Here is a 13,912-nt window from a genome sequence, read left to right as displayed (position 1 = left end):
CATAGTAAGTTCTGCAAAGCTTCTTCTTTTTGGTGTTAAAATGTCCTGGAGAAGAGTTGTATAATCTTTATAAAGTCCTGGCCAGGTGTGGTGGCTCATGCCTATAGTCCCAGCACTTTGGGAGGCCAAGGTGGGAGGATCACTTGAGCCCGGGAGTTTGAGGCTGTAGTGAGCTATGACTGCACCACTGTACTCCAGCCTGAGTAACAGAGTGAGACCCCATCTCTCAAAACCCCATCTTACAAAGTCCCTTTCCTAAATACTGGGGGGACTCCTATGGCTCCTGAAACCCGACCATTGCGGTAGACTGAGTGGCTTTGGAAGGGCTCTAGCCCTCCATCCACACTGGTGACCCCCCGCTTGCTTTTCCTGAGTAATGCCCTGAAACTCTCAGGGCTATAAGAAGAAACGTGGACTGCTGGCTCTAGCAGGCCCAGCCCCTGGGAGGAAGCTCAAGGCTTCCTGCCTCTTCTTGCCTGTCACCAGCACGGGGCTGGCAGCTCTGCAGAACGCAGCCTCTGAAGCCCAGCCTGGCATCGGGAGCTGGCTTCTTTCCTGAAGCCATGTGGGTGGGTAGGGAGGGGAAGCAGCTTTTCTCTGCAAGTGGTGGGAATACAGGGGCCGTGGCCCACACCACTCTCTTGGGCCCGGGGCAGCTGGCTATAGGCGCCTGGCCCTGCAGGGGGCCATTCCAGTGCAGAGGATGGTCTCAGCCTCCCCCGGGCCCTGGGAGAGTGCAGCCCTGCTGTGTGGGGCTGGGAAGTTTTGCTGGGAGTTCCTGCTGGGAGTGAGGGCCAGGTCCCCAAGAGCTGGGGAAAGAAGCATTTGCAGTCACCTCACTAAAGAATATTCATTTATTTATAATTATTGCTAAGTAAACTTCTCTTTTAAACAGGAACATAAAAACACAGTAGGGCTTTGCACAAGTGGAATCTCTAAACAGTTGGTTTGTATACATGTCAAAATAAGTTAGAATGGAATTTGTCCAGGAGTTTCCAAGTCACCCGAGAGGCTGTGCACCTCTTTTGAGAAGGTTAGGGAGGGGTACAGACAGGAGCCTTGCCAAGACCACCCCCCAGCTCAAACTGTGAGTTGTGCTGTTTCCTCCTCCTAGCTTTGCCCAGGTCCAAGGCACAGGGCAGGGGGCGTTCAAGTATCGAACCTCACAGAGGGCCAGTGCTGACGGCGGGGCTGGGGGAGGGAAAGGAGAGCCCCACCCTGGGGGCCAGACCTTCTCCCTTCAGTTTCCAAGACCAAGGCCACTGCACTGGCAGGAGGGAGGAGGAGGAGGAGAGGTACAGGGTTCTTTTTGGTACCAGGGGAGAAAGACGTGGGAAGAGGTAGTTGCAGGGGATGATGCCTTCTGCTCAGCAGGAGAAAATGTCTTATACAGTGACGGGGTCACTGCCACCTGAGGGTCATCATGGCGGGCACCTGGGAGGTCGTGGGGCTTCGGGGTCTGGAAGCCATACTTGGGCCACCTTGTCCACCCCTCAGTCCTGATCACAGTCACCCTGAGGCCTGGCTTGGTCCTTCACTTAAGGATCCAGCCTTGGGGGTGGCTGCGCTGCAGATTGGTTCCTCCCACCGCAGGCTGTTCCCTTCTCCGGGTTTCTAGGCTGAAGCTAGTGGCTTCATCTGTGCCTTTGGGGAAGACCCCTGCTTGCCCCTCCCCACTGAGGCCTCAGGAGGCAAGTGGGTGGGGGGGTCCGGGTGCCCTAGAGTTCCTGAATGTGCTATTTCACTGCCCTGGGCCTGTCATCTCTGGTTCCAGGGGCAGGAGCTGGCGTGGGAACAGAGGGGAAGAGAGCAGGCGAGCGAGGGAGCTAGCTGTTGGCTGAGCAGAGTCAGCAGCCCTGACAGCCGAGGATGGGACATGGGACAGAGCAAGTCAGCGACTGCAGGAGCCAGGCAGGGGTGGAGGGCTTCCCAGCTCTGCCTTCTCCTGCCTCCCACCCCAGCCTGCTGAGGCTGCTGCCAGCGGCTGCACCTCCAGGGCCAGGGTGACAGTCCCCATGGAGCCCCAGTCCTGCCCGGCCAGGCTGCTCGGGGTGGGTGGGTAGGAAGCACGCACAGCACATTAGGAAGCTTACGCTTGGAAAAAGAAAATGCATCTCCATCAGAAAAGGTCATAGGTGACACACAGTTGGAAAGAAAAAAATAATAAGTTACCTTCAGAAGACCCCCTTTGCTCAAAAAAACCCTTGATTTCCCTCTGTGGGCTTTACTTTCCTTTTTAAAATACGTTGCTCTTTCCGGGAAGCTGCTGACTCGTGGCTATCCCCGTCGCAAGGTGGACACTGAGGAATGAGAAATGACTGCGGTCCCCCTCCCCGACAGGTGGTCCTGGGCCTCCCCCAAGGACAGCCCTTCTTGGTCCCCTGTGATGCCCTCACTCCGCCCTGCCCTGCCCCATGCTTCTGGTTTTGTTAGTGTGTGCCTGACGCGGGGCCTGTCCTGGCTTTGTTCCTAGTGGGGCCCCCTGGTGAGGCACTCCAGCTAGGGTCGAAGTGGACGACATGTGTTGCAATCCACTGTAGGGACACTCACTTCCAGAAAGGGATGTAGGACAGGGGTCTTCTGGGGGCTGGGTGCCCCCCAGCTGTCCTGCAGGCCAGGGCCAGGGCCACGTGCACACCTGGCTTGAGGAGCGCATGGGAGACCCCGGGAGGTAGAAGGCAGAGTGCCCTGCCTGGCGGTCCGTCGACAGGGCGGGGAAGGGGGCCTGGACAAGGTAGAGGTGGGCAGTACTGGCCAGAGGGGAGCTCAGACATCCTTAGAGGCAGGAGTTGGCCGTGAAAAAGACATGGCTCAAGTGGTCTCTTCTTCCAGTGTCAGGACCCCTGAAGAGCTCTGCTGGGCCTGGAGAGACCCCGAGGGCCGGTGCCCTTGTGACCTGTCCCCAGTGGCCCCACTTCTCCCACTCCCCACGGAAGCAGGCCAGGGAGACCCAGATCTGGGCCTCGCGTGTTCTCCTTCCCTTGCTGGGATGCCTGGGCCTGTGCTGGCTCACAGCCGGGGCCAGTAGTACAGTCTCCATTTGGTCTAAAGGTCCCTAGTGGTGCAAATGACTCGGGGAGGGAGGGCTCAGAACAGTGGGGCAGTAGCTTGTTTCTCGGCTGCAGGAGGTGCAGCCTGCAGCCCATGGGTCTCACCCCCATGCCCTCGCCCCCGGCCCCCGTTAGGGGTGGCCCAGCTTGCGCTATAGCACATTGTAGTAGGCCATCTCTTTCATGGCCTGTTCAGTGAGGACACTGGCCTCGGCGCTGCTGTCCACGCTCGCATAGCTGTAGGCGTTCTCCTCGAAGTCCTCCATCTCCTGCTGGCCGTCGAGCTCTGAAGGGTCAGTGCCTGTCAGCTCCATCATGGGGTCTGTAAGAGAGGGGCACAGTCAGACCTGGCTGCCATCTCTCGGGAGGAGCCAGTCACCCCCACGCAGGAAGCTGATGGCCTTTCTAAAGAGAGGGCTTCCCAGTCACGGCCTCCAGGAGTCTCAGCTGCCTCTCAGCCTTCCCACCCTCGGACGCCTCAGGGTCCTGTGGCTTCTAGCTGGGTGACCAGACCTAGGCCCCAAAGCTGAGTGTGGGGGAGTGGGTGCTATCAGTGAGGGCCTTTGTGGTGGAGAACTGCAGGCCTGGCCTTGAAGCCTTCTTTGGGTCATTCTTCCATTGACCCGTCAAAGTCACTAAGCCCTACTTATCCCTTCTCTGCAATGTTTCTCTGGCCACGGGAAGCTGCCTGCGTGACATCACCTTTGCAGCACTCATTAGCACCTGCTGCATGCCAGCCACTTCGCAGGCCTCGCCTCATCCAGCAATCACAACAGCCCCATTTAGCAGCTCAGAAGGCTGAGGTTTAGAGAGGTGAATCAACTTGCCAAAGGTCACCCAGCACATGCTGTTGTTCTGAGCCACTGTGCTGCTCTGCCTCACACTGCGGGAGGGTGAGGCCTCCTGCCGGCAGCTGTGCTTTTCTGTTGGTTCTAGCCATTGGTATCCTTGGGCCTGGCTCTCCAGGGACAAACACTCAGGGTAGGTTCATAAAGATATGTCAGGCAAAAACTCCTAAGAGGCCCCTTATAATTTTATAAAATTGAAATCTCATTATAAAGCTCTTACAGGGGAAGCCCAGGGTAGGATCTGGGGGAACTGGGAGGCTGGCAGGGGCTGTGGCTGGCCCCCAAAGTGCATTCTGGCCCTGTCCGCTGAGATGTGCGTGTTTTGGGGGAAACAGACCCCAGGCTGGGGGCAGCCCTGACAGGTCTAAGGCAGACTTTCTCAACCTTGGCACTTAGGGCCATAATTCTTTGTTGTGAGGCTGTCCTGTGCATTGTAGGATGTTTGACAGCATCCCTGGCCTCTACCCATGAGATGCCAGTAGCATCACCCCAGTTGTGACAACCATAAATGTCTCCAAACATGGCCAACTGTCACCTGGAAGACAAACTCATGCTCAGTTGAGAACCACTGGTCTAAGAGTAATCCCATCCCTTCCCAATTAGTGGTTCAGGAATAGGCACGTGACCCAATCCTGTTGAATGGGTCATGAGGAAAGGCCTGCTAGTAAGTTCTTAGCACCTTCTCATTGGTGTCAGAGAGCTAAGGGGAGCAGGCTGTCACTCTTCCACTGGATGTGAACAAGGAAGCACACACCCTGACGGCCACTGGCAGCCATCTTGTGACCATGAGGATATTCGCAGCTAATGCTGTGGACAGAGGAAGCCTCACCCTGATGTCACTGTTGGCAAGCTGAATCAGCCAGCTCTGAAGAGGGCCTAGACTTTGAACCATTTCTTTTCTCTTCTTTTTTTTTTTTTTTTTGAGACCGAGTTTCGCTCTTGTTGCCCAGGCTGGAGTGCAATGGTGCAATCTTGGCTCATCACAACCTCCACCTCCTGGGGTCAAGCGATTCTCCTGCCTCAGCCTCCCAAGTAGCTGAGATTACAGGCATGCGCCACCATACCCGGCTAATTTTTTTTGTATTTTTAGTAGAGACGGGGTTTCTCCATGTTGGTCAGGCTGGTCTTGAACTCCCAATCTCAGGTGATCCGCCTGCCTCGGCCTCTCAAAGTGCTGGGATTACAGGCGTGAGCCACTGCGCCTGGCCCCATTTCTTTTCTTTTTTTGACAAGGTCTTGCTCTATTGCCAAGGCTGGGGTGCAGTGGTGCAATCATGGCTCACTGCAGCCTCAAACTCAAAGTGATCCTCCCAACTCAACCTCCCGAGTAGCTGGGACGATAGGTGTGCGCTACCACACCTGGTCTTGAGCCATTTCTTAATGGATTTCCTTATTGTTTAGGCCAGTCTGAATGGGTATCTGTTACTTGTGCCTGTAGCATCTAACCCACTGTGAGTCTTCCGGACTTTATAAAACAAGGTCACTTGACCCATATCTTATAGATTTGGGCTGTTTCTTCCCTCAGTCCTAGTGCCACACCCTCATGTTACACAGCTGGTTTCAAAAACAAGCTAAATAAAGCACCTTGGGGGCCAGGCGCAGTGGCTCATGCCTGTAATCCCAGCACTTTGGGAGGCCAAGGCAGGCAGATCATGAGGTCAGGAGATCAAGACCATCCTGGCTAACACCGTGAAACCCCGTCTCTACTAAAAATACAAAAAAATTAGCCGGGCGTGGTGGCAGGCGCCTGTAGTCCCAGCTACTTGGGAGGCTGAGGCAGGAGAATGGCGTGAACCCAGGAGGTGGAGCTTGCAGTGAGCCGAGATCGCGCCACTGCACTCCAGCCTGGGTGAAAGAGCAAGACTCCGTCTCAAAAAAAAAAAAAAAAAAAAAAGCACCTTGAGAAAATTTCTACTTGTGGATCTCTGTACACCGTCCCCATTTTGTTTATTAAGTCTATGGTCCCGTCCTGTGGGCCCCAGAGAATAGTCTGTAGCATTTTTTATAAGGACATTGATCCACCTCCCCAAATGACAGCCCCATAGTTACTAGATCGTTCTGTCTAGAATGTATGCTGCCTTCCTTCTGCATACGCATCAAGCCTGGGCTTCCCAGACCAAGGCTGTATGAGGGAGGTGGGGACCTGGAGCCCAGTCATTCCAGGGCCAATCGCTTCCTTCTGTCATCTGGTACGGCCAGGAATAGAGGAATTCTAAGCATCCCTGGTGACTGAGCTCATATAGAAAGAGGTTGTGCCTTAACCACCCCGAGGAACAAGGTGTACAGGGACAGTCTTTTTAAAAAATCTTGTTTGGGTGGTGGGATGGGGGTGGGGCGATTTCTGGTAAAAACTGGAAAACCTGCTAAATGAATGCTTTTTTTTTTTTTTTTTTGAGTCAAAGTCTCACTCTGTCACCCAGGCTGGAGTGCAGTGACACAATCTCGGCTCACTGCAACCTCTGCCTCCCAGGTTCAAGTGATTCTCCTGCCTCAGCCTCCCGAGTAGCTGGGATTACACGCATGTGCCAACACGCCCAGCTAATTTTTGTATTTTTAGTAGAGACGGGGTTTCATCATGTTAGCCAGGCTGGTCTCGAACTCCCAACCTCAGGTGATCTGCCCACCTTGGGATTTGCCTCCCAAAGTGTTGGGATTATAGGCGTGAGCCAGTACGCCCAGCCTAACAAATTCTAAAAGAGCTGTAACACTGACAGTCTCTTCATGGTCCCAGTTATTTCCAAAAGGGCACGTTCTGCTCTGGTTCCTTCTGGTGGGTTAGCAACAGGGCAGATCCACTAGAATACAGCTCTCAAAATCTACTGCACATGGACTCACCCAAAGTGCTTTACAAAAATCCTGATCCCAGGCCACATTCCAGATCACTTACATTTGAACCTCAGGTCCAAACTCAGGCATCAGCATTTAAAACATTCCTCAGGTGACTCCCAACATGCAGCTGATTTGCCAGCCAGCCCTCTGCAGTCTGGATCAAAGGTTCTCAACATGAGGTCCCTGAACCAGCGGCTGCTTTGCTAAGAACTGGGAACTTGTGGGAAAGGCAGCGTCTCAGACCCCACCCCAGATCTACTGAATCAGAAACTCTGGGGGTGGGGCCAGCACTTTGTTTCAACAAGCCCTCCAGGAGACTCTGAGGCACTAGTCTGGTCCAGTGGGTCTCAAACTTGACTGCAACAAATGGCCCAGAGATCTTTTTGAAGTGTAGAGTCTGACTCAGCAGGTGTGGGTGGAGCTGAGAGGCCAGCAAGATCCCAGGTGGGGCCGAGGCTGCTCATCCTCCTACCACATTTTGAGTAGCAAGGAGCTACCAAGAGCAGCCGACGGGGTTTCATTCTCGTCTACTGGAAGCAACCTTAATAGACAACTGAAAAACAAAACAAAACAACTGAGATACCTGTTTCTGCCAGAAAACCCAGGCCATTCACTGGTCAGCTGTTCCAAAACCAGAGTTAAGCTACTGCAGCTGTTCCCGCGTGCCTGCCTGCATTCCAGTAAATAATCCCACGTGGCAAGTCAGCTCACCTGGTTACTGCCAAAGCATGTTCCCAGCTGGTGTGACTCAGAGGCACACCAGAATTTCTTTATTATAATTTGGCGATAGGGTCTTGCTTTGCCACGCAGGCTGGAGTGCCGTGGTCCGATCACAGTTCACTACAGCCTTGAACTCCTGGGCTCAAGTGATCTTCCTGCCTTAGACTCCCAAGTAGCTGAGATTATAGGCACACGCCACCACACCCAGCTAATTTAAAAATATTTTTGTAGAGACCAGGTCTCACTATGTTGCCTGGTTTGGTATCAAACTCCTGGCCTTAAGGGATCCTCCTGCCTCGGCCTCCCAAAGTGCCAGGATTATAGGTGTGAGCCATCATGCCCAGCCAGAGCACCAGAAATAGCTCCCAACTGTAGAAGGAGCCTCCCTGTAGCGCTGTTGGCTCCCTCCTTCCTGTGGAGTCTCCACAGCAGTCCCTCCCCACCATGAGGCCAGAGAGGCTAACAGCTTTGCTGTCACCCAACAGAAATGCTTTAAGTACTGACCACTGCTGGAGGGAAAGGCTACCGCTAACACTTGGGATGTTTTCTGACAGCCTCTGAAACTTCTACGAACTGCTGAGGCATAGGATCCTCTCCTAAAATTTCTCCCAGATCTTAACGTCAGGGCTGTCTGGCCCTTTCATGAGTATGTGGGTTATAGTCTCTGGCAGGCACTTGTGAAGAGTGTGACTGATTGACACTTTTTTGCCTTGGTTGCTGGGAAGCTCAGATCTCCCCTCTGCATGTCCCTTGCTTAGGACCTCCCATGGTGTACTTGGAGTTGGGACCTCACCTGGCTCTCCCTTATCTTTCCGGCTGCCATTTTTTCCCCTTTCTAACTTTCTTTCCCATACACTTATTTGAAATATTATCTCACGGTAACGAAATAAAGTGTCTGTCACCTCCTGCTGTGTTGTCATCTTGCATGAGCTATCTAAGTTCTCTGTTCTTCAGTTTCTGCATCTGTAAAACGATGACAATGACAGAGCCAACCTCGCTTTGAGGATCACATGAGTTAATAAAGGCCTGGCACACAGTTAGCACTCAATAAATGTTAGTTATGATTTTTATTATATTGTTTACGTGATCTCATTTAAGTCCTTTGAAGAAGACATAAATATCCCATCGTTATTGTCATCATGGCCTTCCAGGGTACCCCCCTTCCAGACCTGAGCCCACCCCAACGAAGTCTCAGCCTTGGCCAGCCTCCCCACTCCTCTAACTGGGCAGGAGGCTCCTGAGTGCGTCATGTTGGTATCATTCCTGCTCTGTCCATTGCGCTTGGCCCACCCACCTTGGCTGTCCAGGCCGATGTCCATGACGCCATGCTTGACCTTCATGTGCCGGCTCAGGTTGCCCTTGAGATTAAACTTGCTGGAGCAGTAGGGGCACTTGAAGGGCTTGCTGCCGGCGTGCAGGTGCATGTGGCCCAGCAGGTTGTACATGCGGTTGAAGGACTTCCCGCACACCTAGAACACATCAACCCGGTGTCCTGAGCCTGTGGGGAACCTGCTTTCCCCGGACCCCAGCCCACTCCCACCTCTATGGCTGGGCCAGAATCCTATTCTTTTGTTTTTTTTTTTTGTTTTTTTTTTGAGACAGACTCTCACTCTGTTGTCCAGGCTGGAGTGCAGTGGCATGATCTCGGCTCACTGCAACTTCTGCCTCCTGGGTTCAAGAGATTCTCCTGCCTTAGTCTCCCGAGTAGCTGGGACTACAGGCACGTGCCACCACGCCCAGCTAATTTTTTGTATGTTTAGTAGAGAAGGGGTTTCACCACATTGGCTAGGCTGGTCTCGAACTCCTTACCTCAAATGATCCACCCACCTCAGCCTCCCAAAATGCTGGGATTACAGGCATGCACCACCATGCCTGGCCCAGAATCCTGTTCTTTATGGACAGTTCTCTCTTTATGCTTTTCCATGTGACCCCAGACACCCGAGAGACAGGGACACAAGCCATCCATTGGGGGTCACTGCTCCTGTGAGTCTGCCCCACTTTCTCTGAGCTGCACTTATCAGAAACCCAGGGCTTGGATCTCTAGCTGCACTAAGCCCTCAGGCTGGGGTCCTTTCTCTGTGGCTGCACCATGACCTTCACTCCCTCCCCAGCTCTCAGAAAAACCCAACTTCAGCAGCTTTCAGGATGTGAATCCCCGCCTGCCCTCCCAACCCCCAAAGCCCAGGCTAAGTTTCACCCAGCCGGGGCTCCTCTTGCCCGCACTGGCCAGGCTGGCGCTTGGTGGGCCACAGCTGCTGCAGGCATGCTGATTCCAGACCACCCTCGGGGAGGTCCCAGCCCCGGGGCCTGATGACCGGGTACCTTGCATTTGAATGGCTTCACGGGCGAGTGTACAATCATGTGGGTCTTGAGAGTCTGCTTCTGTACAAAGGTCTTGAAGCAGATGTGGCACTGGTAGGGCCGGACGCTGGTGTGGATCAGCATGTGCCGCTTCATGTTCGCCTGTAGGGTGAACTCCCGGCCACACACCTCGCACTTGAACTCCTTCACGCCCTGTGGGGTGGGGGGTGATGGTCAGGGCCACACAATGGGCACAGCCTCTGGCAGTGACCCTTTGTGGGGAGCCGGGTAGGGGCAGGGCCATAGCATCACAAAGGCACACTTTCTGGGAAATGTCTCTTTTTGAGGGTATTCCAAAATAGGTAACACTTGTTTAAAACCACCGAAGAATGTGGGGGCAGAGCCACTTACTCCAGGAAGCCTTTCAGTAATAGAAATAGGCTGTGCTTTACTGTAACGATCCAGATACCTGCTGTCTCCTGCCCCCAGGGTGGATGTGTACATAAGGTCTGTACTAGTGCACTAAGGCAAATGTGTGCTCATTCATTCATTCATTCAACAACCATTTACCGGGCACCTGCTCCAAGCCAGTACCACACTAGGCGGCAGGGGTCTGTCGCCAAGAAGACACAGGGTCTGCCCGCTGTCTGTGGACTATTTCATCAGATCAAGGACACGTGTATGTGTTTTTATCCTCCATGCTGTCTCTTGGTGGCCTTTTTGGTTCAGACCCTTTTGATAATATGATTGAAGCTATGGACACCCCCCCAAAAATGGCACTTAGGTCTATGTAGAATTTCGAAGGGTCTCAAACTCCCAGAGCCTATCCACTCATCTCTTGAAAGTGTTTTCCTAATTTCCCTGGTGATAACAGCCACCTGTAGTTCTCATCCAACATACAGCCTTGCAGGCCGCTCCCTGGAGGGTCTAATTCATGGGGCCTGGGATGGGCCCAGGAATTTTTATTCTCAACAGGGCCCCCAGATGATTCTTATCATTGATGGACTTTGGGCTATTCACCCCCAGGAGACATGGATTCCAGGAGAAAACCCACTGGTTTGGACTGTGAACTTTCTTTTCTACGGTTTGGAGGTCACTCCCAGAGCAGGACAGGGTGTTGTGTGCAAAGGGGTCCAATTTATTATCCATGGAGGAAAATTAGGATAAAAGCTGGGAGCTGGGCTGGGCACGGTGGCTCACACCTGTAATCCCAGCATTTTGGGAGGCTGAGGCAAGAGGATCACCTGAGGCCAGGAACTCAAGACTAGTGTGGACAACATAGCAAGACCCTATCTCTAAAATTTGAAAAAGGCCGGGCACGGTGGCTCATGCCTGTAATCCCAGCACTTTGGGAGGCTAAGGTGGGCAGATCACAAGGTCAGGAGTTCGAGACCAGGCTGGCCAACATGGTGAAACCCTATCTCTACTAAAAATACAATAATTAGCTGAGCGTGGTATGCGCCTGTAATCCCAGCTACTCAGGAGGCTGAGGCAGTAGAATTGCTTAAACCCAGGAGGCGGAGGTTGCAGTGAGCTGAGATCACACCACTGCACTCCAGCTTGGGTGACAGAGTAAGCCTCCGTCTCAAAAAAAAAAAAAAAAAGAGTAAAAATAAATAAATAAAAGAAATTTTTTTTAAGTTGGGAGCTGTTTTCTTTTTGATGAGTTAGTAATTTAGTAGGAACCCAGTGGGACATGTGTCTGTGGTCACAGCTGCTGTCTTAACTGCTTGTTTGGTATAAAAACTTTGTATTATAACTTAATGGTTCCCGTGTCTATGTCTCTTAGCAGCAGGGACTGTGTCTTGTGCTGTATACCCCCTCCTGACACATCGCAGATGTGTATGACCACCAGGGGGCCCTGCCATTCAGGAGTTTCTTTTATAAACACATGATGTGCACATTGTACAAATTTAGGCTGATAATAGGGACATTTCCAGTTTTATTAGCCTTTGGTTTTTGCTTTCAGCTTTTCTTCACAGTATTAACACTCTGTGGACTTGGGATTTTTTTTTTTTTTTTAAGACAGAGTCTTGCTTTTGTTGCCCAGGCTAGAGTACAGCGGCACGGTCTTGGCTCACTGCAACCTCTGCCTCCCGGGTTCAAGCAATTCTCCTGCCTCAGCCTCCCGAGTAGCTGGGACTACAGGCGCCCACCACCACGCCCAACTAATTTTTGTATTTTTAGTAGAGACGGGGCTTCACCATGTTGGCCAGGTTGGCCTCGAACTCCTGACCTTGTGATCTGCCCGCCTCGGCCTCCTAAAGTGCTGGGATTACAGGCGTGAGCCACTGTGCCAGGCCCTGGACTTGGGATTTTTAAGTCCCCCAGTAGAGGAGAAAGATGGCAAATATATAGCATATATGCTGTCACCCTGCACAATCACTCCTTGCAGACATTAACAATCCATCATAGGGTTTTATTGCCAAGCCTAGATTCAGTTTCAGAATCCTTTTCTCTTTTTGGAGACAGAGTCTTGCTCTGTTGCCCAGACTGGAGTGCAGTGGCGCAATCACAGCTCACTGCAGCCTTGACCTCCTGGGCTCAAGCAATCCTCCTGCTTCAGTCTCATGTGTAGCTGGACCACAGGTGTGTGCCACCATGCCTGGCTAATTTTTTGATTTTTTTCTTTTTTTTGAGATAGAGTCTTGCTCTGTCACCTGGGCTGGAGCACAGTGGTGTGATCTCGGCTCACTGGAATCTCTGCCTCCTGGGTTCAAGCTGGGACTACAGGTGCACACCACCACACTCAGCTATTTTTAAAAAATATTTTTAGTAGAGCCAGGGTTTCACTATGTTAGCCAGGCTGGTCTCAAACTCCTGGGCTCAAGTGATTCTCCTGCCTCAGCCTCCCAAAGTGTTGGGATTACTGTTAGCCATTGCATCCAGCCCAGAATTCTTCCTTTTTTTTTTTCTTAAAAAAAAAAAAATGTCTTGCTATGTTGCCCAGGCTAGAGTGCAGTGGCTATTAATAGGAGCAATCATAGCCTCAAACTCCTGGGTTCAAGCAAACTTCCCACCTCAGCCTCCTGAGTAACTGGGACTACAGGTGTGCAGCACCATGCCTGGCTAGACTCTTTCTTGACATTACATTTTAGGCAGCTACTAGCAGTTGACTGCAGGAGCCTCTGCAATGAAACCTACAAATTGCTGGTTTCTAGGCCTGGCAGGGTATTAACAGCTCCCCAACTCCCTATAGTGTCTACCGTGAGAGACAGGGTCACAAGTTTGACCTGGAGTATCACTCATAGGCCACCGTTATGGGGAGAGGAAGCTCTATGTACATTCAGCTTTGAAGGGTAAAGTTGGTGGGATTTCGGTGGAAACCATGGGGCAGCCAAGTACCAGAGTGGGATTGTGGGACCCAAGGGGCCTCATTCCACCTACCCGGATATGAGGGCCTCTCAGAGGAGGTGATATTGGCTGAAAAGCGGGGAGGCTGGTGGCTGAAGGCGGGGAATGGAGGGCAGGGGAGTACGGGTCAAGGCTGGGTTTAGGGACATGGTAGATTAGAAAGTGCTGCTCAATTTCTGCCTTCCCGAGCCACTGTGCCTAGTTTAGCCATATTCTAGAACTACCTGTACTTTTCCATAACAAATATTTTTCCTTACATCTTCTCTGCTTTGAAAATTAAATATATTTAGCCTGTTCTTAAAGGGAAGTCACAGGTTTTGATTTGCTTTTGTAATGACAAGGAACAAAGGACACCCTCTGTACTTCTGACCACTGAGCCAGGACGCCTCCCTGTTGCATCCTGGCCTCTCTCTGGCCTCTGTCCTCCCATCTAGAAAATAGGGAGGGTAAGATACTTCAGTGATCCTCAAACTGTGTTCCTTGGGTCTTGCAGGGGTTATAAAAATGATTTTTTTTTTTTGGAGACAGGGTCTCAGTCTGGTTGCCCAGGCTGAAGTGCAGTATCGTGATTTCAGCTCACTGCAACCTCAGCCTCTCAGGCTCAGGTGTTCCTCCCACCTTAGCCTTCCAAGTAGCTGGGACTATAGGTGTATGCCACCACACCCGGCTAATGTTTAAATTTTTTTTTTTTTTTTTTTTTTGAGATGGAGTTTTGCTCCTGTTGCCCAGGCTGGAGTGCAATGGTGTGGTCTCGGCTGACTGCAACCTCTGCCTCCCGGGTTGAAGCAATTCTCTTGCCTCAGCCTCCCA

The 13,912-nt window shown here is 52.2% G+C and overlaps 1 protein-coding gene and 1 long non-coding RNA gene across 13 annotated transcripts in view; one reads left to right on the top strand and one right to left on the bottom strand.

Annotated features, from left to right (window-relative positions):
• Nucleotides 825–8,520, top strand: ZNF710-AS1 (ZNF710 antisense RNA 1). The gene is made up of 2 exons (NR_146321.1): nucleotides 825–1,593; nucleotides 8,119–8,520. It is a non-coding gene; the product is annotated as a ZNF710 antisense RNA 1 (long non-coding RNA).
• Nucleotides 841–13,912, bottom strand: part of ZNF710 (zinc finger protein 710) — an 83,885-nt gene continuing 70,813 nt past the window's right edge. For 6 of the 12 annotated variants that reach the window (XM_047432482.1, XM_005254907.5, XM_005254906.5 and 3 more), the window contains exons 3-4: nucleotides 9,770–9,961; nucleotides 8,500–8,916 (exon numbers count right to left, since the gene is read on the bottom strand). In XM_047432482.1, the coding sequence (XP_047288438.1) occupies nucleotides 8,527–8,916; nucleotides 9,770–9,961 (582 nt within the window). In that variant the 3' untranslated portion in view covers nucleotides 8,500–8,526. Of the gene's footprint in view, nucleotides 8,411–8,499; nucleotides 8,917–9,769; nucleotides 9,962–13,912 lie in introns of those variants that run through there. The other 6 variants (XM_047432486.1, XM_047432483.1, NM_198526.4 and 3 more) reach the window with 2 other exon arrangements.

Source organism: Homo sapiens, chromosome 15 (assembly GCF_000001405.40).
Source record: "Homo sapiens chromosome 15, GRCh38.p14 Primary Assembly".
Classification (NCBI taxonomy): Eukaryota; Metazoa; Chordata; class Mammalia; order Primates; family Hominidae; genus Homo; species Homo sapiens.
This window is presented reverse-complemented; position numbering and strand designations above follow the sequence as displayed.